The sequence below is a fragment of the Homo sapiens genome, chromosome 2 (genome assembly GCF_000001405.40).
Source record: "Homo sapiens chromosome 2, GRCh38.p14 Primary Assembly".
NCBI classification, from domain to species: domain Eukaryota; kingdom Metazoa; phylum Chordata; class Mammalia; order Primates; family Hominidae; genus Homo; species Homo sapiens.
Genome location: NC_000002.12, coordinates 138,759,930 through 138,783,834, shown reverse-complemented (window position 1 = coordinate 138,783,834; position 23,905 = coordinate 138,759,930). Strand labels below are relative to the sequence as shown.

General features: G+C 38.6%; 1 protein-coding gene across 1 annotated transcript in view; it reads left to right on the top strand.

Moving 5' to 3' along the window:
• The first annotated feature begins 3,444 nt into the window (after positions 1-3,444).
• The window catches only part of NXPH2 (neurexophilin 2), a 111,234-nt gene continuing 90,773 nt past the window's right edge, over positions 3,445-23,905 (top strand). Inside the window, exon 1 of the mRNA NM_007226.3 lies at positions 3,445-3,644. Coding sequence (NP_009157.1) covers positions 3,594-3,644 — 51 coding nt within the window. The 5' untranslated portion in view covers positions 3,445-3,593. The remainder of the gene's footprint in view (positions 3,645-23,905) is intronic.

The following is a 23,905-nucleotide window of genomic DNA, read 5'->3' as shown; positions in this document are numbered from 1 at the left end:
ACTGATCTGATTCTCTAGTTGTTAAATAGACTGGAAAAGAGAAAAAGCGGTGATTAAAAAAAAAAAAACGCTCCTCTACTATGCTAGAAAAGTTTAAAAATATTCAAACCCCAAGTTCAGTTCCTGTTCACAGTTCACTCTTCACTGTTGCCCTTGTACCCACATCTCCCTATTCCTCTATTCCTTTCTTTCCAACTACCATGACCATCTCCTCATTCCACCTCTATATCTTCATGCCTCTTCATGCATGACTTGTCTACTCCAAAAAAGGTTTATGACTCCATGATTTCCTCCAGATTACGTCTAAACTGTTTAGCTTGGCATTCCCAGATCTCTACAGCGCAGCCCATAACCTAACTTTCTTCTCACTTTTCCTCAACATATTTTCTCCAGTCACAGTCTGGGCTGCTTTTTGTTCATCCCTCAATTATGCCCTATAAAAACCCTCCACTCTGCCTTTGCTCATTCTGTTTCTCCCATACAGAATGATCTCCTCCATTTTTTCCCATGTAGACTAATCTTGGCCATTCTTGGAAACTGAGCAAACTCACGTTTCGTCTCTTCCAAGAAGCATTCGTGCTGGCCTACAATGATCTTTCCTTTCTCCAGCTGTACTAAACAACACTTATATTTTGCTGTATTGTCTACTGTGTTTTGTTTACTGCATATTTCTCAGACTGCATGCTGCTGGAGGACAATGTCTTAAATACTTCTATTTTTCTGCCTCTCTTCATCCTTTTCTTCTCCCTCTCTCCCTTTCTTCTTTCCATTCTTTCTTTCTCTTTACTGTAGTCTGTACAGCAAAATTTGGGAGGAATCCAGAAAGATCAGTAGTTATTTTATAAATAAACACAGTAATGCCAGACTTAGGTTAGTGGGGCTGTTAGGCTTCTCTTTTACCTGGCCTGATCACTGGGGCACGAAAGTTCGCTACTGTTTTTTAGCTTTTAACTTGGAATTCAACATCCCTCAGCATGTTTCTTTGTAAGAATACTTAGTGTTACTAGGGCACATGTCTGAGTTTAACTTCCACTTTTAAACTTTATGTAGTTTCTCAAAAGAACAAAAATGATCTAAGAAATATGAACAAATTGAAGGAAAAAAGTGAACTATTCCAGTAATTAAACAACTTTGTTATTTATTTCAATAATGTGTTAAATCATGCCCTCCTCATTTACAAAGCCTGTGATAGCTGAATGGCAAACTACCAAAGTACCAAATGGAGACAGGACCTCACCTTCTGGCTCTATAAATGAGTCAGCTCAGCTCAGGCAGAGACACCAAGTCTAAATGAGGTAGTGCCTCTTGCAAAGCGGTTAGCCTCTCTCCTCTTCGAGCTGTACCTCTTCAGAAAGGGGTTCCTCTGTTTCTGCAAAACCCTTCCTATTATGTCCGTTTTGTTTCGAAAAGGTTGTCTGTAAATAAGATGCAGCCCTATCCAGGGACGCAAAGTTGGGCAAAATCAACCAATAGAGATCCTTCCAGTTTTTGAAATCCTCTTATTTGTGCTTTTGGGACAGAATAATTTACTAGAACTGGTAGAACAGGGCTCTAAGCCTTGGTAAAGAGGGAATTTTTGTAGGGATGAGGAGTGGAATGGGTGAGATATAGATTTGGATATGCAAATAGTGGTTTTGTTTTTGAGTCTGTTGCAAGGCAAAAGGAGAGTCTGAGATCAAGCAGAAATGGGATGCAGCTGGTGCATCCTTTACCATGGAACCCCCAGTCAGGCTTAGCAAGGGTTTAGGGAGGATGCATGCCCCTTGCTTGCCACTCTCCCCCCCTACAGGAAATGGAGTTGTACTGGAAAGATACCCTACCTGCAGGCTCAAGGACAACACACTCTCAAATTCACACTGGGATCCCAGAACACTCTGGAATAACCTCCCTCCCCATCTGCACAATCTTGGCACACTCAGTGAAAGGAATAGTAGGATTTTGCCCTAGTCAAAGCAATCCTCCTGCCTTTGAAACCTAGGACCAAGGCTGCTCTGCTTCAACCGCTAAGATTTAACAACCCTCCTTCATTTCTATTTTGGGGTGGGGGTGGTAAGCAGAGGAGAAGGAAACTTTTTTTTTTTTGTCCAAAAATTACAACTTAATCTGTGCTTTTTGTTGGGTTTATTTTTTAAAGCCTAGAAATCAATTGCAATTCTACTCCCTTGCTTCAACATGGTTTTCTTCTCTAAGAGCTTTGCGTTTCTAGATGTAAGAAGCATTCTCGCCTTGGGTATTCTGTCGGAGCAACTGCCTAAAGTCTCATCCTTGGAGAAGTGAATGTATCTCTCTGGACCTTAGGTTTCCCACCTGTTCAATAAAGGAGTGACGAATGACGCCCAAACTCTGATCTACCGTAAAAACAGTGCAGGTCTGTGAGCCCCATTGCCTTTGATTTTTCCACTCGAGTGTCCAGCACAAAGATAGTAAAAGGTTAAGGATCTCTCCAATGGCGAGTTGTTAACACGGAGGTCGAGGCTCACAGGCATCAGGTTTGCACCTTCGCCCGTCCGCAAAGATACCCCTCTCCAATATTTCTGAAGTCGGAGGCTGTGGTGGGGTATCCTGCCTTTATTCTGCTTCTCCAAAGCCCGGGCAGAAGGTCTGGGAGCAACTTTGTCTGTCTTCAGGACACCTAGCTGTCTATACCATCCCCAAACCGGAGTAAACCAGACATCACCTAGCTCCGTTTCTCACAGTTCTGCTCCTGGTCCCTCGAGGTCCCCATTACTCCCCAACCCCAGAAATCCTTCCAGCCGCACCAGGCGCACTTTGTACCCCTTACCCGCGGCTCTGCGAGCTTGGCGCTGCGGCAGAGTAGGGCACTCTCCCAGGGCGTCCTGGGCTCCAGCCTCACCTCCCCGCCCCAGCCTTTTCCGTTCGCAGCTCCCCACGCCCCGCCCCAGGACTCTGCAATCGCCTTCCCCTCCTAAACTCTCTGGGCGCTCTCCAGGCGGGCGCACTCTTTCTTGCAGCCACCCAGGGAGAACCTTTTCTTCCCCTCATCCCCAATCTCCCCAGCCAAAGCGAGAGCCAGTCAGTTGGCAGGGCGCTTGGCACAGTGGAGCCTCTCGGACCGGCCTTCTGCTGGGCGGGGGTGGGAGGAGGCACCCGGCCTCTCGGGGCTCTGGGGCACCGGCTGGCCAGGCGTGCTCAGCTCGGCCAGGCATCCGCCCGGCGGGATCGGATCTGGAGGGCAGCCTCGCACTGAACCCATCACCCAAGCGCCCGAGCCGCCGCCTCCCTCCCGCAGGCGCCCCACGCGCTCACCCCAAGCCCGGCCAAGCGGGAGAGTCCAAGGCGCGACTGAAGCCCCCCGCCGCGTGCCGGAGCTCGAGCTGCCCCGCAGGCTCTTTGCCGGCCCCCTCCGAGGAGGGGCGCGCGGGGGGCCGGGAGAGGCACCTCCGGTCCGCCCACCCTCCCCCTTCCCTGCCCGCCCACCCGGCCAGAGCTGCGCGGCACGGCGCAGCGCTCGGATTCCGGGAGGGAAGCGCCGCGCTGTGTCCCTGGCGTCCTCAGTCCTGCCCCGCGAAGTGGAGATGCGCGAGAGGCAGGCGAGGGCGCGCAGCTCGTGAAAAGCCGCGCCAGCCGGCACCATGCGCCTGCGGCCGCTGCCCCTCGTGGTGGTCCCTGGCTTGCTGCAGCTGGTGAGTGCCCGGCCCGCGCGCCGTCCCACACGCCGGGGACGCGTTTCGGCGGGAAAACCGCGCAGGCGGCTGACTTGGAGCCCAGCCTGGGCCTGCTTGGGAAGTGGGGTTGGGGGCGCGCGGAGGGCAAGGAGTTTTGGGTTGCCTTAGAGGTCGAAAGGGAAGAATTGAAGAACGGAATAGACGGGATCTACAGGCGACTCAGGGGCTTAGCACGGGTTGGGACTTGAGCGCTGGGGTAAAGTAGGCAGAAGGTGGCCGGGAAGTAGGTCCGGGAGAAGGAAGCGGTTTATTGATAAGCGGTCAAGGAGAGGAAGGAAAGTAAATTGATAGGATGAGAAGGGGCAGAAAGACCTTCCTCCTGTTCACAGTTTGAGAGGCTTGGTGGTGTTTATTTTTCACGTGGTGTTTTGCCCAGATGCACACAGACACTTCTCCCAAAGCACAGCATAGTGCATGCATCCTCGTTCTCAGAGCCAGGTAGTGGCGCCTTGCTGGGAGAAAACTTAGGCAAAATACGGATTTGGGGGACAGCTTGGATTTCTCTTCGTTTTCCGTCTGGCGCTAGGGACTGGGATGGGGCTTTCTGCCAGCTGGGGACACAAGATATAACTTTCATGCCCAGCTCCGCGCAGGAGCCCCCTCTCGGGCATCTCGAAGCTGTCTTTTCAGGGAGACCGCCCGCCTGGTCTGGGTGGCTCGGAGGCGCTGAGGAATAAGAAACGTATTAAAATGTGGTTTGGGGTTCGCGTTGTCACTCTCTTCTCTCTTCCCGCGAGGCGCCACGCTCTCCTCCTCCTGATATACGCCTATGTTCTATATGCATGGCTAATTATAGTTGAGGGAAAACCAAAGTAAGATCTTCAAGAAGAAACTTTTAAAGTAAAATTACAGAAGGGGAGTGCTTTGGCTGGGTCAGCATCTGTGATGGATTTCTTCTGGTCACTTAGCTCTTGCCTTGTTAGGGTGCTATTAAGAGGGCTTTCTCCTGATGCCATAGTTTCTTTGGTCCTCATACTTAAGACTTTGCCCAAGCACTTAGAAGATGACAGTCTCTTCTCTCTCGCTCGCTCTCTCTCTCGTTCTCTTTGTCTCTTTCTTTTCCTATTAGGGGGAAAATCAAGTAACTTTGAAAGTTTATGATATGTATGATATTGTTAAGGCAGAGGCACTTTGCAAGTTCTGAGGGTGGAAGGAACTCTAAAAGGTGGAGAGACCTCTGAGATGCCCGTGGTCCATGCTTGTTACGGTGGAGATTAGCTTCACCTGCACAGCGTTAACTCAGAAACTCTTCAATGGCATCAAGAAGAAAATGCAATGATATGCCCAAATATCCTTGAATGAGCCATCACATACTGGCTATCTACAATACTCCATGTTAAAATACATTTTACATCTTAGGCATTATGAATCCAAAATATATGCCACATTAATCTTTAGTATCCCTTGCTTTAAAATTTTTTAGTCTGGATTCTAATAAAAGGTGATCTAACAAAGCAGCATTTGTATGGTGTGTGTAAGGAAAAGCCTGGGGAAATCAGGTGTTTATGTGGGGTCTTCAGAATATCTTCACGAATCTTAGTTCATTAATTTTGCATTTAATAAATATGAACTGTGTATCTGCTCCGTAAGCAGTGTGATAGGCTCTTAAAGATGAGAAAATATATTTGGGCACGTGTCGGGGAAAAGTTCTTCTCCCAGCTACTATATTGGAAATGTTAGATATTTTTTTTTTCCACACCGCCATAGTCAGTAAGGAATAGGAAATACATCTTGAAGGGATTATATGCTCTCCTTAAGAGCTAGATTCTAATATTACAGCATGGACTGATGGATTTGCTTTTAAAAAAGCTTATGTCAAATTCTAATCCATTTTGGGATTGTGCTTGGGTTGTAATGTTTTTCTCCTGGAGCACTTTATCATGGTAAGTGAGGTAGGGAGCTGCAGCCCTGTTGATAAGCACACATTCCTTACGCTGCCATCCCTTCGGACAATAAAAGGCTGTTTACATTCTCCACATTCTTAGAGCTGTTGCCAGCCTTATAACACAAGGGGGTTAGAATGTGAAAGGAAAACAGAGTGGCTGAGCATATCTAAATTGAAATATTCCCCAATCCCAGCATATGCCCTACTCCAGTAGGTGTCAAAAAGGACAGATCATGATTTGCTCATTTGGATGGCTCATAGTTTTGTTCTACCTTTTTCAGCTGATATTGAACTTCTTTGTTAAATCCTAACAGCAAGGGGATAAAATATTTTCTAGATATGAAACTAGTCATTTACTTTTCTAGGAACCATATGTACTAAAAAAATCTGCCCTTTGCTGACATAAGGCTTTTTTTTTTTTTTTTTTTTTTTAATTTTTTGGTGAGGGAGGAGTGAAGTTACCTTATTGTCGAAATTGGATTTTACTTTTCTATCTGCACTGCCAGCCTGAAGAACATACTTATAAAAAATATTAAATATTTTAAAAGAATAATAGATTCATTTGGGCATATTGAACATTTAGTGATATGAAAATTACCTGTTTGTTTCTGAAAGCAGTCACAGGGAATTGAGCCCAAATAAGTCACTAACTATGGTTATATATAACATATATAATATACACGTATATATAATACAGTCACAATAACTAGAATTTTTTTACCTGTTTATGTGATATTTAAAACTTCTAAGAAAACAGTAAGCGGAATTGATAAATACTGCAAGTAGGCTAGGAAGAATGTATGTCTCTTACCTGTCCTTGCCCATTTTCCTGGCCTGTGTATAGTGCTTTTAACAGACAGGTTGCTATAGCTAATTAATGGGATTACTATTTGCAAGATTTAAATATCCATCTTGAACATATTCCTTTTTTAAAAATTCTTATTCAGCAACATACTCTTATAAAGAATATTAAGAGCATGTTATATCTTTTCTGCCACTAATGAAGAAAAAAATTAGCATTTGAAATGAATATTATATCAAAATGAGTGTTGCTTCATCATGATACAAGGTAAAGACTTCACCAGATGTCAACTGTTTACAGATTTGCATGATGATTTGTAACTGGTAATAAGTGTGATTTTTTGCCTTTAAGTAAAAAGAAGATTAAAAAAAGAATAAATTTTAATTTAAATGAATGATTAGCTAACGTTTAAGATAAAATTTAGGGCTGATTTAAAAAATCAGTTTCTTACACATTTTAACTTGTTTTACTGTGATACAATGCTGAGTTTACAAAATAAAATATTAGTTAAAAGCAATGTAAGTTGGCAAATTTTTAGAATCCTATAAAATCAGATCCTTGTGATGAAAGATGGTAAAATTTTAAGTTCATCTTTTTAGTACCACATAATTTATTAAGGGTACTTACATTAAAACTAATAATTTTAATATTTGTTTAGTCTGATGATTCTATTTATTTCTTCTTCTGTACTTACAAGAATTGATAACTCTTTACTATCTTCCATTCAAAAATGACAACTTTCCTCATACAGCCTTGATCAATAAACATCAAAATAGTATTTTCCAGTGCCGGATGAATAGTCCTCTGTTGGCTATATGACAATGTGAAGGAAAAAAAAAAAAAAACACCACTATATCATTGTTATGACTTAGAGTTGGCCGTGCATTAAAATGAACTCCTCATTATAAGCATCATTATTTTACACACTTTAAAAAATGAAAATTAAGATTAGACAATTAAATCCTTGGTTCCAGTCACCCACCTCCCAGTACAAGTTGTATTCCCTTGGTTTATTCTGGTATTATGTTATCTGGTCCAGTTGTGAATGCCTTCCATACAGAAAAATGACTGCTTGGGAAATTATTTTATTGTTTAGTTTCCGAATGGAAAAGAAAAGCTTTCTTAATCTTTGTTCTGTATTTTTTTGTAATTTTTTCTTTTTTATGGTTTTTGATTAGTAATTGTAATGCTAAATAAGGCAGAAAGCTTTTTGGAAAAATATTTTAGGGGTTTACATTGTCAGCTTAAAATGTGTAGTTCTTGCCAATCAAATGTATTAAGAAATGTTGGTTTATATAAGACACCGCCCACCTTTTATCTATTAAAGAGCTAATCAATACACCTTGAATGATTTAGTCGTTTAGTGGTAGCAATCAAAGATGAATATAAATGTGTCACAGGTTTGTGATTTTGTAAAAGCTCTAGACTGTCTCTTACCGTTTACATATTCTGTGGACTCTTTTACCTGAAGCTTTACTGGGAAAGATTTGAAAAAAGAATTATAGCTGCACACTCAAGTGCTTACAGTTAAGGCTGTGTCAGCGTTTCTGTAAAGAATCTCATTTCTATCTTAGCCATAAGCATTATTGCTGGTTAGAAGCTGGCATTTAATATCTTGATTTGGAAGTAAATTATTTCAAAACGGCTTTAAAAAATTGGTCCAAATGATTTTGAGTGCTCCCCATATGAGGTTACTGTCTAGGTATCCTTATAGTATGCAGGATGGTGATTTAACAAACTAATTTCTATATTATTGACTTTGTAACTAAATTAGCAGGCACAATCCTATGGTTTTGACTTCCACAATGGTTATAATTTAAGTTGGGATATGTTTAAATGATTTTAGATAACCTTTTCCCAGTTAACATATATATTGTACTGCCGTAAGATTTTCTAACACTATTTCGTCATAAGTATTTTTAATTATGCCAAAATCAGGTGCCCTTTTATAAGTCTTTATTTACTAATGCATTTTTTATTAGCTGTGATTTGATTAATGGTATTGATGACAACTCTATTCTTTATTTCAAAATCCTGCTAAATAAAAAAGGAATCTAAAGCAATTTACAGTATAAGTTGTGGTATAGATTTTCATATTAAAGAAAGAATTTTAAGATGTGATTGACTGAAAACTTCTATTTTATGTTATTTTTTAACTTATGAAAATCTAGATTAAAACTCTCAAACAAGTGTTTGGTTCATTATGCTGTAAGATTGGTATATAATAAGGAATTATCTTTCCTTATAGAATTACCATTAAAAATGAAATTTCCATTATTTAAGCCCAAATGCTGTAGGAAATATTTTTCTTTTTCCTAGTCAGATCATTCACAAAGATCAAATAGTTGTATCTAAAATTGCCATTCTTGTGCTCACTTCAGTAGCACGTATACTAAATTGCCATTCTAGTTAATTTTTCCTTTCTTAAATGGTAAGAGAAATGAGACATTTTATAAACTTAAACTATAATGATAATAACGCTGACTTAGATTTCCATGCACTTACATAATTTTAAGTTTCTTTCACACAATTATCACATTCTATTCTCCCAGTAAGACTAGAAGATAGAGAAGGATATTTTAAATGTTTCCATTCATGTTTTGGGAAGAACAATGAATTTCATGTCAAAAGACTTGGAGTCTATTTCTGAATCAGTCAAACATTCAACAAATATTTGTTCATTATCTGTTTTGATCCAGACTTTACACTGAGACTACAGCAAGCAGTGAGAACATAGCAGTCAACAAAATAGAGTTGGTCCAAGGGTGTGAGTGTGTGTGTATGTGTGCACATGTGCACCTGTGAGTGTGTATGTGTCTTGGGCAGTTCGTTTAACAGCCTGAGAACTTTCATCTATAAAATGAAGTCAATAATGACAAAGTAGATAAAAATTTGTTTTTAACATCTCTCCTTTTTTAATATGTTGTAACAGGGGTTCTGAATTTTTCTTCATATGATTTACATCTTTAGTTACTGTATATATATGTTACATAAAAATGTAATTGTTTTAAATATAAATTTCACATGTATTTTATGCTGTTAACCACATCACAAGTGATGTATATACTTAGAAGTAGATTTAAAACACTACAAGATGGATTACTAGATCTGTGCTTACGGAAAAGGAAAATTTAGTAAAACCAGACAGAGAATTGATGAGCACTTATTTAACATATAATCAGCAAAATCAATAAAAAGTTAAATTAAAATGGTGCATTCAGGGATTTTCTTCCCCCATACCATTTTAAATTGTAAACTAACATCTAGTCATTGCATCAATTTAAATAAACGGAAAATTGACTCTCAGTTAAATTCTAATTATTAAGATAAACAACATTACAGATTAATACTGTTCTTCATCCAGAAAACTAGCAAGTGACTTTTGTGTGCCTGAATAGAATACAGTCTATTTAAATCAGAAATAGTTTTAACTAACTGCAATGGTTTCAGGAGTTCACATGTAAATGTTACAAAATTTTAAAAATAAAACAAACAAAAAAACTGGCATGTGAGACCTACCAAAGATGGAGAAAATTGCCAATGATCCTAACCTTAGGAGAAAATCCAAGTGAAACAGAAAGACTAACTATTCCTGGGATTCAATCCAACTGTAAGCACGTAAATGTCTCTACAAATGAAACTTGACTTTGAGATATTGCTGCTTTTTTGCCACATAAAGTGATTCTAAGGTCATTAAAAACAAAATTTACATAAATTGTGTAAGTCTTTTCATGCAAGAATATGCAAGATTATGATTTTCAAGCTTTATCATATATAATGATAATTTTTAAATCTTATCAATTTAAGTTATATAGCAGGTATATTTATTCGCCCAAAACAGTAATTTAAGAAATAATGTATATTATTCAAAGGGAAAGAACACTTATGTAGTATGGCTGTTAAAAACACATGTGATTTCTATTCCCAAATTCCATTCCTCATTTGTGTGTGTAGACAGCTACTGAAAGTGGTTGATTAGTATAAAAATCTGTATGATCTTTTCAATGGATAATGCATACAATAAACGACTAGGGACCATAAAGCATCATTTAACATTTTGTAGTAATGATAACAGGAATATGTATTAATGAAGTTTTGCACTTGGATAGTTCAAACAGGAGACGATTGGGATTGGCTTGAGGAATATGGCTATGGAAATGGAAAAAAAGATGAAGTTTTCAAAAGCGTGTTTTCCGTAGTCTCGAATTTACCTGTTGCTCCTGTGTTGCTGACTCTCCAGCTTGTATCTCAGTTCCTACCCTGTTGCTCAGGCTCCAAGCCGGTGTCTCCATAACTTACTGTTCTGTTTTACTTGGATGTTTTACTGTTAACTCACACTCAACATGTGCAAGGCCACACACATCTGTGCTGAACAAGTGCCTTCCAACATTCATGGATTTGGATCTTGAAGTCACCACCATCCCATTTTTAATGTTTGGAGCCTTTGTGCTAAGACAAGTGACAGGATGTAAAGCACTACATGGTTTGCAAAATTCTTTCGTGGTTAATCTGTGCATCAGCTCTGAAAAGTAAGTAGAATGATAGTTATTGCATCCATTTTACAGGTGAAGCAACAAAAGCACACCACAGGTTTCAGAGACAGACTGTAGACTGCACAGATTGTAAATTCGAATCATCCACTTTGATGATGAGTGCTGTCTTTCTAGGTACTCATCACTGACACCCAGAGTGATGGACTTGAGGGACATTTCTAGGAAACATCCCACTCTGCTCAGTGACCACTGAGCTAGAAACCTTAATTCATTCATCTTAGCTTTGCCATAAAGTCAAATAAGTTGAATAGAACAAATGAATTCTTGGGGCATTTCTTTAATCTGGAGTTCTATTTAGAATTTAACCTCATGGGCCGGGCGCGGTGGCTCACCCCTGTAGTCCCAGCACTTTGAGAGGTCGAGGTGGGGAGATCACCTGAGGTCGGGAGTTCGAGACCAGCTTGACCAACATGGAGAAACCCCGTCTCTACTAAAAAATACAAAATTAGCCAGGCGTGGTGGCGCATGCCTGTAATCCCAGCTACCTGGGAGGCTGAGGCAGGAGAATTGCTTGAATCCAAGAGGCAGAGGTTGTGTTGAGCCAAGATCGTGCCATTGCACTCCAGCTTGGGCAATAAGAGTGCAACTCTGTCTCTAAATAAATAAATAATAAAATTTAACCTCATGGAGGCCAGTTGCCAAGGGTCTCAGCTTTAATGCCATTTTCATGTTAAGTTAGTAGCCAAGTAATGTGGCTCCAGTTAGGATCAGCAGAGGTTTTGAGAGTTCCTCTAACTTTTCAGGATCTCACCTATACCACTCCAGATGGAAAAGATAAAAAGGAGAGAGAAAGTGTGGGTTCACGGGCTGCTAAACCCTGGTTTTCTAGTGGACAGGTAGGAATATGAGGACAAGCAGGTGGGTGAGGGAACCTGTCTAGTAGGTGCCCAGACTTGTGTAGAATTTGAGAGCATTAATATATAATTTTACTTTACTAGTAGCACATGGCTTTTGCTCTCTTTTTCTTTCTTTTAATGAAAATATGTATTTTATTATAAAAGTAATATTGTAGTGGATGTTATTGGTTCTCCACCCAGATTTCTTTTGGGGAGGCACTTTGCCAGAATGCACTCAGAGCCACAGGTGCCATTCACTTCCTCTGGAAAGCTCTTGACTAGTGACTGACAGATGTCAGAGTATGAAAGCCCAGCTGCCTTGCCCCGACTCTGGACAGCTCCCAGATATAACTGAGGTGAAACAGATAATCTCGGTCTTCCCTGCAGGAGCAGGCTGAAGCTACCCTCTGCAAGACTTTGCCTGAGATCACGCACTTCCATGACTTTTTTCCCATTCTTTCACCAGCTGCCCTGCTCCCTTAGCAAGGCTTCCCCGGAAGTGCTTCTGTTTTAAATCAATAGCCCTCAAATACTTGCTTCAGCCTGTCCTTCTGGGGAACTCCATCTAAGATTTCTGTTTAATTTTTTTTTTTTTTAGTACTACTCAGAATTTCTTTAAGTAGCCATCCTCACCCCTGCCTGCTTTCTGCCACCTCATACCTTATACTCAGGGCATTATTAATAGTTTAACGTATGTCTTTCCAGATATTATGGATATGTATGCTTTTATAATAATTATATCATGCACAGTACCATGTTCTGTAACAAGCTTTTTTAATGCAATAGCATATTTTGGCTACTTTGATAGAGCAACTTATATTTTTAAAGATTCACTGTATTTCATGGCATTGATATGCCATAATATATTTAATCTTTCTAATTAATATTTAAATTGTTTTGAATTCTTTAATATAGTTGTAAGTATACCTGTAACACAAATTCCTAGAATTGAAAATGTTGGTTCAATTGAGAATGTATATATTGAATTTTGATAATTATAAATGTTTTCTGAAATGATTGTACCAATATAAGGTATTACATTGTATGTGCATGCCTGTATCACACTACCTGAATACTGGTATTTAAAAAAAAATTTTTGACAATCTATTAAAGGAAAGTACTTCATTGTTTTTAACATGTATTGTATACTGTATTACTTATCAGGTATATAAAGCATGTTTTCACATTTAATAACCATTTGTATTTCTTATTTTGTGAATTGCCTTTTTAAGTAATTTCCTGTGTTTCAGTTTTTTACAGCCTTTAAATTTTATAGTTTCTTTTTAATATTGCTCACGCACAATTGTTCTTTATTATTCCTGAATATCTGGTACATTATTAGGTTGTTATGGATATCTTTTTTATGGCTGACATTTTAAAATTCATTTTTGCTGGAATGTAAGGAAAACTATTTATTTTTGTATGTTTATGTTTGTATCTGTTCTATTTCTGAACTCAGTTATTAGTTGTAATATTTTTTATTTGATTCCCCTGGATTTTATGTCTAGACAATCATATCATCTGCAAATAATCTTATATTTGACTCTTTTTATTGAACATTATGTCTCATATTAAAATTTACTCTCCTAGAGAACTGTATAGAATCTTCAAAATATTATTGAATAATTCTGAAATTAAGCATGTTCTCATGTTTCCAACTTTAACATAAACTTTACTAAGTATGAAGTTTATTATTTGTTAATTTTTATTTTTATTTTATGTATGTGTTTTTAGCATTTTATTTAGATACACTGGCTATATTCATAAATGAAATATAACTAAAGTGAAACATGCCAGATTTTTGTATAAAGATTATGGTGGGATTAGAATTAAAAAGACTTCTATGTTTTCCCCCTCACTTCTGGAAAGAGTTAAAATATTTGAGAATTGCTTTTTCTTTGGCAGTTTGTTGGGAATCATTCTAATCCATTTGGGCCTTTTTGTTTTGGGAAAAGAAGTCTTTTATAAACTTTTTATTTCCTTTATGACTACTTACCACTCAGGTTTTTTCCTCAACCAACCCTTATTGAATCCCTTTTATTAACTTTAAAATTATGCATGTTTCTGTATCCTTAAATTTGTTTCACATAAAATTATATATACTATAACCTTAATTTTTAAAAACTTACTGCACACTGTGAATTTGCGCCCTGTTTTGCCCTCGAGTTTGTATTATATTAATTGTTTTGTAAGAATGGTAGCTAGGGGAGTGCCTTCATTTTCTTTCTATGTTTAACAGCATAAATAGAAGACTTGAGGGGCAAATTTCATAGATAAGTTACTAAGAGGTCCAAACTGAATGGAGCCTCAGGGTAAGGGGTGAGCATCCAAAACCCCACGAGCTTTGTGCTCAGGGGAGCCTCCTGGTAGCTGCCTTGGTGCCAGTTTCACGCCTAAATCCTGCTGCACTAAGCTGGGTGGTGGGAATTGGGTGCACATGGGGAAAAAACTTCAGTGTCCTGCCTGCGTGTGGTTCTCCTTTGCCTTTGTTTGGTTACAGCCTGCTCAGCATGCTTGACTTTTCCATTATTTTGATTTACTCTTCTTTGTGTCTTCTGGGGATTCTGATTTTATGGACTCTTTTGGCATCCTTTTCTCTTTCTAGCACTCTTATGCATTTATTCTTGTTTTTGCATTTCTAGTTCTTTTCACTGGGATTTTTGGAGGGAGGCAAGTGCATGCATTCTTTCAGCTTCCTTCATTGCAACTGGAAATCTTGTAGTCATTTTTGGCTCATCTTTCCTCATCCCCTATAATAACCATTCAGTCACACAATCCTATGAAATTTCCTTCCAAGTCCCATTGTAAACTCTCTTCCTCTCCATCCCCAGCCATGTCATCACTATCACAGCCTCCTCACTGGTGTATCTTATTCCAACATGAGCCTTTTTAATTCATCCCACATATCACAGAATCATCTTTCTTAAATTCTCCTTTGATTTACTATACCACTACACTATTAAGAGTGAGATTGCGATTCTCTTTTTCTGAACACAGTGAGTCTAAATTCTTATTCCTGGCTTTCCCAGACTTAAATCTCTCCTCCAATATTTATCACATACTCTTAACTGCGACGGGGCCTGTATGTTCAATGCTCCATGAATATTTCAGAGTGGAGGGAAAAGCGTAGGTTTTGATGTCAGGCTGACTTGGATTCTGGTACTTCCTCTGGCATCTTGGACAAGCTAATAAATCTACTAAATCTGTTTCTTTCCTTATAAAATAATGGTAGTTATTAGCTATCTCAGAGGGCTTTGCTAATTACTTACAAAAAATGTAAAATACCTGGCCCATAACATTAGCTTAACAAATGACAGTTTCCTTTCCATCTGTATTAACTTAGGGTCTTTGTGCACAAGCAACAGAAACTGATTCTGACTAACTTAAGCAGAGAAGAAATTATTAAAATGGGGCAGCTCACAGAAAGGGTATGAACCAGGCATGTCTAGAACAGAATCCAGGGTTTGTGTGTCAGGAAATTGTCAATTAGCCAAGATAATGAATAAATGCCAACCATTTTTTCCCTGTCTCTACAATCCTTGCTTCACTTCATTTAAGATGCTGTGTTCTGGTTGAGAAAGCCTGGTTGGTTTGGGTCATACGCCTTAGCTTGAGAAGGGCAGGGCACTTTGATGAAGAGTTCTGCATATCCTAGGGAATCCACAATAGATATTCCCCTTAGAAAACTTGTGGTTAGCACTCTCACTAAAGAAGGAGCTCTATTAGAGAAAGAGACCCAAACAACTACAGAGAAGACCCATTCCAGCTGTTCATATTAATCCACATGATCTCCACTCATAAATAGTCATAGATAACCAGAGATCACCAGACACTTAAGAGAAATCATCAGGAAAAAAAGGACAAAGAGAAAACAGAACAACTTACCTTGGAGGCAAGCAATAATACAAAGAACTAATTATAATTTTTAAAATGCCCAATTAGTATTCTCAGAGAGTCAAAAAGATATTGTATCCTGAAAATAAGAACAGGTTGCTATGAAGAAAGATCAACTGGGGAACAATAAATAATTATTAGAAACGAAATTTATAACTGACAAAATAAAAAGTTAAGGAGAAGGCTGAAAATAATAGAGATAATAAAGAACATACTGGTGAACTACAAGGTATAGCCATGGAAATCTCCCATGGAAGAGAGCAAAAAAACCAAAATGGAAAATATGAGAGAAGTGTGAAGAGACACAGAGGATAAATCCAGAAAATCCAGTGAAGAGCTCCAGAAAAAGAGGACAGAGGCAATGAGAGGAAGGACATGGTCAAAGACACAGTGTTGAATAGCCTGACTTAAAAATAACAAATTGGTGAAATTTCCATGCTCAAATGAAAAATCAGAAAATTCTAAAAGCTTTCAGAAAAACAAGATAGATTACTTAGGAAAAAAACGTTTTATCTTATTAACAACAAAATAATATCTTTACAGTTTGTAGGGTAGGAGATATTGAATCAATAGTCAAATTATCAATCAAATATGAAGGACAGAAGAGGAAAAAAATAGAGAAGGTAAAAATGATTAGGTGCAGCAAACCACCATGGCACATGTATACCTATGTAACAAACCTGCATGTTCTGCACATGTATCTCAGAACTTAAAATAAAAAAAATGGTATTTGGGGGCATGCAAGGGTCTCAGGGGAGCTACTGCTCTCTCCATTTGGGGAAATCCTCAAAGAGGTGCTGCAAAGCAAGAGAGAGATAGAGCAAAGGGATGATGAGGCACACAGTTGCACTCCAGTCTGAGTGTGACTCAGTCTCTGCTCCTGGGAAAGCATGGGGTTCCATTTCCTTCTGTGGTCAGGCCACACTGTGACTCTATAGGGGGTTCCACTGAAGGGTTCCACTGACGTTATATCAGCTTCATAAGTGCTATTTATTATTTTGCTGTTTTTGAAATGGATTTATATTCAAAGCATGAAAGATTTAGATATTGCTTAAGAACAGAGTATAATATAATAAATATTGATGAACTAAAATCATAAAAATTTGGAGGTGAAGGTAATACAAGAGGTAAAAGTGGGCAAGCATGCCAGGTTCCTTATCTTACATAGTAAGAAGTTAATAGAAGCCATCTAATATTAATAAATTAAGAAATAGATGCAAAGTCTTAAAAGTTACCAAATACTGGAAGAATTAAAAATGACACAATCAACAAAAATCAGTATGCATCTTTGTTTACTTTGTGCTTTCATTTCTTCTACAATTTAAATAAATTAGAAAATAAATTTAAAATTAGCATGTGGAAAAAGCATTTTGACCTTAATGTATATTTTGTGTTTTGTATTTGACCTCAAAATATGCTTCTTTTTTCATAGTGCTTTTGATAAATGTTTATTACTCCGTAAATTTCAAAATGAAGGTGGTCTTTTCAGCAGGGAGAGCTGTCCAGCAGTGGTAAAGTCATGCTCCTGTGGCCATGAGTTGACTTCTGGAAGTGGGAAAGCAGAGGCCATCTGCTGGATCATGCTGTAGGGCAGGGTGTACCAACCTCAGAACTGTTGTCATTTTGAGCCAAATAGTTTCTCGTTGTTGGGAGCCATCCTGTGCATTGTAGGATGCTTAATAACACATCTGGCTCCTACCCAGATGCGAGTAGCACCTTCTCCCACTTGTACAACCAAAAAAAGTCTCCAGACATTGACAAATGTCCCCTGGGGAGCAAAAACAGCCCAGTTGAGACCTGGAGTGGGTGAGAAACCTGCCATAGGTGATTTCTGGCTATGCGAGAAGCTGAACCAAGTGACTGCTTCAGCCTCTCTCAACTAAATGCTTTGTCTTTGAACTGTTAGGAAGCGGGGTCAGCATTTTGCTTAGATCTAGTTTCTTTCTCAACATTTTAGTTCTTCTAATTCAGGCAAATTTCCTTTGGTTTTATTCAGTTCAACCAATATCTTTGAGTGCCAACTCTGTCAGGCACTGTGCCCAGTGCACACATCTCTGTTGGACAAATTTTCCTTTTTGAGGGTAATAAATGATGAATGTTCCCCCTGATATTCCTTGCCTGGACAAGATTTCCTTTCCTACTAGACACTGTCACACATTTCGTTTTGTGTCAGGTTCAGATATTATCAGTTGTTAGGGCTGGCTCTGAAAGTTTTAGTAAAGCCTTCTAATTTCCATATTTTAAAATGAAGTAATGAGAGAAAAATTACCTTGTAGAAGACAGCAAATAAAATTGAAATTGGCAATCACAAATATTGGTTGGTTAATAAAAACGTGAACTACATCACACTTGACATGCAAATTTGTTACAATTAAAATATAGTAGGATTACACTCTTCAAAGAGTTTATCACAAACCCAGGTTATATTTTTGGTATGAAAACAAATGCAGTGATTGTGAGTGTAAAATTTGATTCAGTGTTTTTGAGATAAAAAACAGCTTACAGCTATTACATTCCACTCTTAGGAGCTAGGTTGCATTCCCTTTTTATTGAAAAATTGGAGATTTTCAAGTTTACTGAAATGTAAACTGTGAGTTACTCTATTTTTATAAATGGCATGAATCATTTTATTCTATATTGGAATGCATTTTTAGTTAAGTTTTTTCTTTAAGGTAATTCTTAGTTTTTAAAAAATGTATCTGTGAAGGTACCCTATGAGAGTTGCATGTTAACCTCCAGAGATAAACATGGTAATAGAAACGTAAACAGAATCCCTGGTGGTGTTAAAATTTGAAATATATTTTCACAAAATTTTAACTATGCATAAATATTGACCTTACTTATTGTGATCAGGTCTGAGAACCACAGTGGAACACAGCTGGGCTGCTGCTCAATCCCTTTATATATATGGAGAATGAACCTGCACATAGGCTTCTGTACCCTTCACAGTGAGTGTGTTGGAGCACCCTGCACAGGCCAGCACATTCCTGTGCCTGTCTTTATACATAAACACATGCAGGCACACAAATAACACTCTCTTACTGAACTTTCTCACTGCATGAAAGGCTGCATTTTTCATTTGCTTGTCTTTGCCTTGGAAGTTATAGACCTAATTATGCTACTACCATTCTCTGTACACATCCCTAAATAAGTCAAGCCCTTCTTTATCAATGTATTCTTAGCTTCTATCAAAGGTTAATATAGGAAATGGCCATAGAAAAACATGTTTTGTTAATACTTGCATTCATATTCTTATACATCCACTCAATAGTTTAAGTGTCTACAGTAGGCATGGCACTATGCTAAGCTTTTCCTTAGAAAATATTTCTAGGGGCAAATTATTTCTTCCTGATAAATCAGGTATTTTTAAGAATGAGAGTTTCAATTCAGTGTTTTCATTTATAACTTTCCTACTGGGAAGAGCAAAGCTAATTTGTAGTTCATTGCAACAAGTAACATTACTAAACTTCATTTTCTTGAGGTTTTCTTACCAGTTATATAATTTGTGACCATCATAGATAGATAGATAGATAGTCCTATTATATATGATTTATATCAGAAACCTTGGGAACATTTTTTGAAAATATTTGCGCTAAAAATTCCTTTGCCAGATGTTTCACCATTGCTGTCCTAATGTGCCTATAACACTAATTTGCTGAAGTCATTTTAATTCTGTGGATGTTAATTTCCTCTAAATTCTTCTTTCTGCAAATTGAGATGATTGGATTCAGTGATTCCCAAATGCTGGTCCATGGGCCAGCTACAATGGCCATAGCAAGAAAGCATTTTCAGAACATTTAGGCATGCTACATCAGTGTCTCTGGGCTGGAACCAAAGCACCAGGTGATACTGGGGCCCAGCCAGGTTTGGAGACCCCTGGATCAGATTTTCTCTTAAGTATCCTTTGGCTTTGTGAGTTCATGATTCTTTTGGAGGGTGGAATATAAGCCAGCACAAAGGGAAAGACTGCCAGTTACTCAGGAAGGGGAATGCCTTAGGTCATGAGAGGGTTTTACAGCATTTGCAGACCTCTCCTCAAAGGTATGTTAAGTGTTTCTCTGTGGTCTGGTGCACACTAAGTGCATAACTCCTCTGTAGCATTTATCTCATGGTATTGTAGTTGTGGGTGCACATCTTTGTGTATTTCACTTAGCTCAAGTGAAATCTATGAACACAAAGAATGTGGATGTCAGTCTCTGCAATATCACAGCCATCCTCATAGTAAGCATCAGATAAATGCTTGAATGGATGAATGAATGAACTATTGAGAGAAATCACTCAGTAACTCCCTTGACAGGTTATGCTTCAGAGCCCCTGGAAAACTACCTGTAACAGATTGCAGGGAAAAACTTTGGGGTGGCATATTCCATCTAATCCCTCAGTCTGCTGGTTCAGTGTCACTGATTTCCTTCAAAGTGTGCTCGAAACCCCTTTGTTTTGAAGCTCTGAGTTTATTTCCTTTCCTTACAGTATGGTCATAAAGATCCTTTGGGACAAGACTTCTACACTTCAGTTAAAGCACTCTACTAAAATAGACTGTTACTTTCTCTACCTGATTCTCTCAAGCTTAACTGTTTTCTCTACTAGGACAAAGAAAGGATATGCTCAGTAGCCAGAGAACTGGTTGATTCCATTGTTTGCCCTTTGGAAGTAAATACATATAGCCAGAAAAGTTTGATATTCAGTCAACAACATCCACATTTTAAGACTTTGTAATATTTATTACAGACTCACTTGTTCTCACTACAATATGCTATGCAGTATTTTTTAATGTATTTTTATAATTAGAGGAATAATTAATTAATATAGGAAAAATATTATTTCTAAAGTTTAGATTCAGTTCTTTGATAGAAAAATATGAAAATAAGAATTTAGGCAGTCAATAATTTAAAATTTATGATCAAAATTTCTGATTTTGTGTTTATTCTGTTATTTTAGTGCTTTCCTCCATTGATCTCCTTACTTCATTGATTTATGATTTTTCTGATGAGGTAATAGGTTTAATTTGCTGATATTTATATGCTAAGGACACTTTCTTAGTATAACTTAATTTACTATCTTACTGTCTTTTCCAATTCCAATCATCCTGTATCAGATTTTTATTTTAGTCTTAATTAAAGTGATTATTTCATGATTTAAAGTTTTTGAAAGACCAGATATGATTTTAGCAGTCATCACTTCACCTGCTTATAAGCACTGTAACTTATTCGTAATACGCTCTCCTGTATATGAAAGTAGATACAATGAAACATAATTGTGCATATATTAATACATAGGTGTGGTCTGGCTTAAGGAGCCAAGCTTGGTCTGTATGGAATAGCTCCTCTTCTCATTATACTAAGCAAGCTTGTTTCCAGTAGATAAAGGGGACAGATCTACTTTCAGTTGAAGAGTGTCATCTGCATACTGTTCTGGTTTAAGCCAGACACAGCCCACTGTCTCCATTTGATGAAGGCATCCTATCTTAGGCTGTCATCCACAACATCCCATCTTAGGCTGTCAGAGAAGAGATTTGCATTTTCATCCAGGAACAACTTGACTTCTGGGTTTTGAACAAGAAAAATATTAGGGTGTAATAAACCCTTCTCATCTTTTGTACCACATTTAGTTAGTAGACCAGAATTGATATGGTGAAGGCATGTGACCAAGTCATTAAGCAAATTCCTTCCATAATATTTTATTTTGTTTTTATTTGGATTTATATTGAAATGAGGTGGAACCAAAACAACTGTGCCCAAGATATTATTAAATGAAATGCCTGCAGTATTATATTAGTGCTAGCAGTGGGCAAGGGCTGTGATCTTTGAATGCTATTAATGAGAGCTTTGAATATTTTTATTAAGAATTTTTATTAAGAATTTTGGGATGCTAGAGCTTCTGGGTAATGTCTGAACCATGGCAAGTGATGTGCTAGTATTGGTGCAAAATCTGGAGAAAGAACAAATGTGGATGCCTATGACCTCAAGTTGACCACTGTTGATAATGTAATAAAGTGTATTTTGACCTCTCATCTCCAGATATATCAGGGACAAGCTAGAAGTGTCATAACAGAAACAAAACCTGTGATTTTTGTCCTCACACCTGCTCCTTTCTCCCTCACTCACATTCAGTTCTGAATCTGCTTAGTATATTTTCCAACAGAAATTCCTGCTAAGCTCTTTCTCTGAGAACCCACAAACTTATCTAAGTTTCAGTCATGCTTATGCTACTCGGTTTTAACCAGCGTAATCTAAGACTTCTGCCTTTGTGACTCTATACTCTTTGAAATATGATGTTTTTGTGTGTTTAGCATTACTCCCTGGACATCCTCCCTGAACACTGATCAGTACTTTAAATGGTTAGCTTTAGATGCCTGCCTTTTGGACGCATAAGATAAAACATATTTTGCTTTAGATATGTACTTCAACCAGAATCTTTGAAAGTTAAATATTCTTACATCTGCGAGGGGCCAGAAAAACCACTTTCCCAACTTTATTTTAGTGAACTTTGGGGGTGGGAGAAGGTGTACTTGGGTACTAAAGCCCAAACCAGCTTTATTAGCTTCAAGTGGCTCCTTTCTTAGCTTCAAGTGGCACAGGAAACCCCTTTTGGATTTTCTACATCATCTCTCAGAATAGCACTTTTTTCTGTGCAACAGAACATACTTCAGCTTCTTTCTTGAAACCAACAGGAGGCACAGCAGATGCATTAGTAAGTCAAAGAAATTTCAAACCCATAAAGAAATGTAGCCAAATGACATTGAAAAGCTCTGATGCATAAATGTGACTAGGAGTATGTCCTGGCCCCTGACTATTGGGGACCTGACCGGGGAAATGGTCATCAGATTTGCCCCATTGCTAGAGTAGTTGGCAGCCATTGGTGATTCATGAGATCAGATGACATCAATCAGACGAAACATTTGATGTAGGGGTTAGCAATGGGACCCTTCAGAGAATGCGCTGGTGAAAGAATTTGTTATTAGGCAGAGCTCAGGTAGGGGAGACTTGAGGTGGACTGGATATGCTCAAGTGAAGATGAGGGTGGGGGCAGATGGTGGCAATAGGTTTCAACAAAATCTTTGGATCTTTATGGCTTGCTGAGCTTCAGGCACAGCAAACTCTGGCACCCTGAAAATCCCTATAAGATAGATGCTTACCTGGCAGGGTTATTCATCAGTTGGAGGAGTATACGTGCAGACCCTGGGTTTAATCAGGTGCCTGCTCTTGCCAGGGATGTTTGCTTGGCCAAGGGAGCTCAAGCCTTTCCTCTGAGCTCACTTTCTATCTGGAGTTGAAATGATTGTTCTCCCACCAGCATTTGACTTCAGACAGAGAGTCCACACCTGGTTTGACTGGGAACTCTGCCAGCCTGTCCACTCCGTCCATGAGTCTGGTATTTTAATCTAAGAAAGCAGTTCACAACTTTTAGTATGCAGTGATCTGGGATAGTTTCTAAAAATGCAAGTTCTTGGGTTTCTGCCTGGGAGATAGATACCATGGGTTTAAGGTGGTGCCAGGAACCGCCAGGAACCTGATTTTAATTTTTAAGCCTCATCTAAGGACTTTTAATGCAGTTTTTGAGATGAGATGACACTTGGAGAAACACTAGCCTAAAGGGAGCTAGTTCTACTTAGTTTTAGAAAATCCTCTACACACGTTATGATTTTTGATGATAGATGATTTATTCAGGACCCTGACAGCATTTTTGCTCCAAAGCAGGGACCTCCGTGCAATGGATGAGGTATGGTTTTCTCTGTTCTATATATATCTTCCCAGAATTTTGCTGTTAGGAAGCATGTTTCTAACCTGTGGGGTTTTTGTTGTTGTTGTTTCAAAGCGTCAGGCTGAGAGATCTCAAAAGTTAAGCAGATGTTGAGCATGGGGACAGACTCGGTATACAACAGGGAGCAATGGAGACGGTTTGCAGATGAGTGTCTTATTGCTCATTAGTAGTTGGCGGGAGGTAGCCTATTTATCTTATTGTTCTGTCACCCTGTATATATGGACATTTGTCTGATGTAGAGTTGGGTTTGTTAATTTTCCCACTTCTTTGGGATGAATGAATTTAATAAGTTTTAATTTTTTTATTTAAAATAAAATTTCTAGAAGTAGGTTTTGAATTTGAAGCCTTATTCAGAATGATTCTTAAACACTTTATAGAAAAAGGGTGGCGGCCGGGCTCTGTGGCACATGCCTGTAATCTCAGCACTTTGGGAGGCCGAGGCGGGCGGATCACAAGGTCAGGAGATCAAGTCCATCCTGGCTAACATG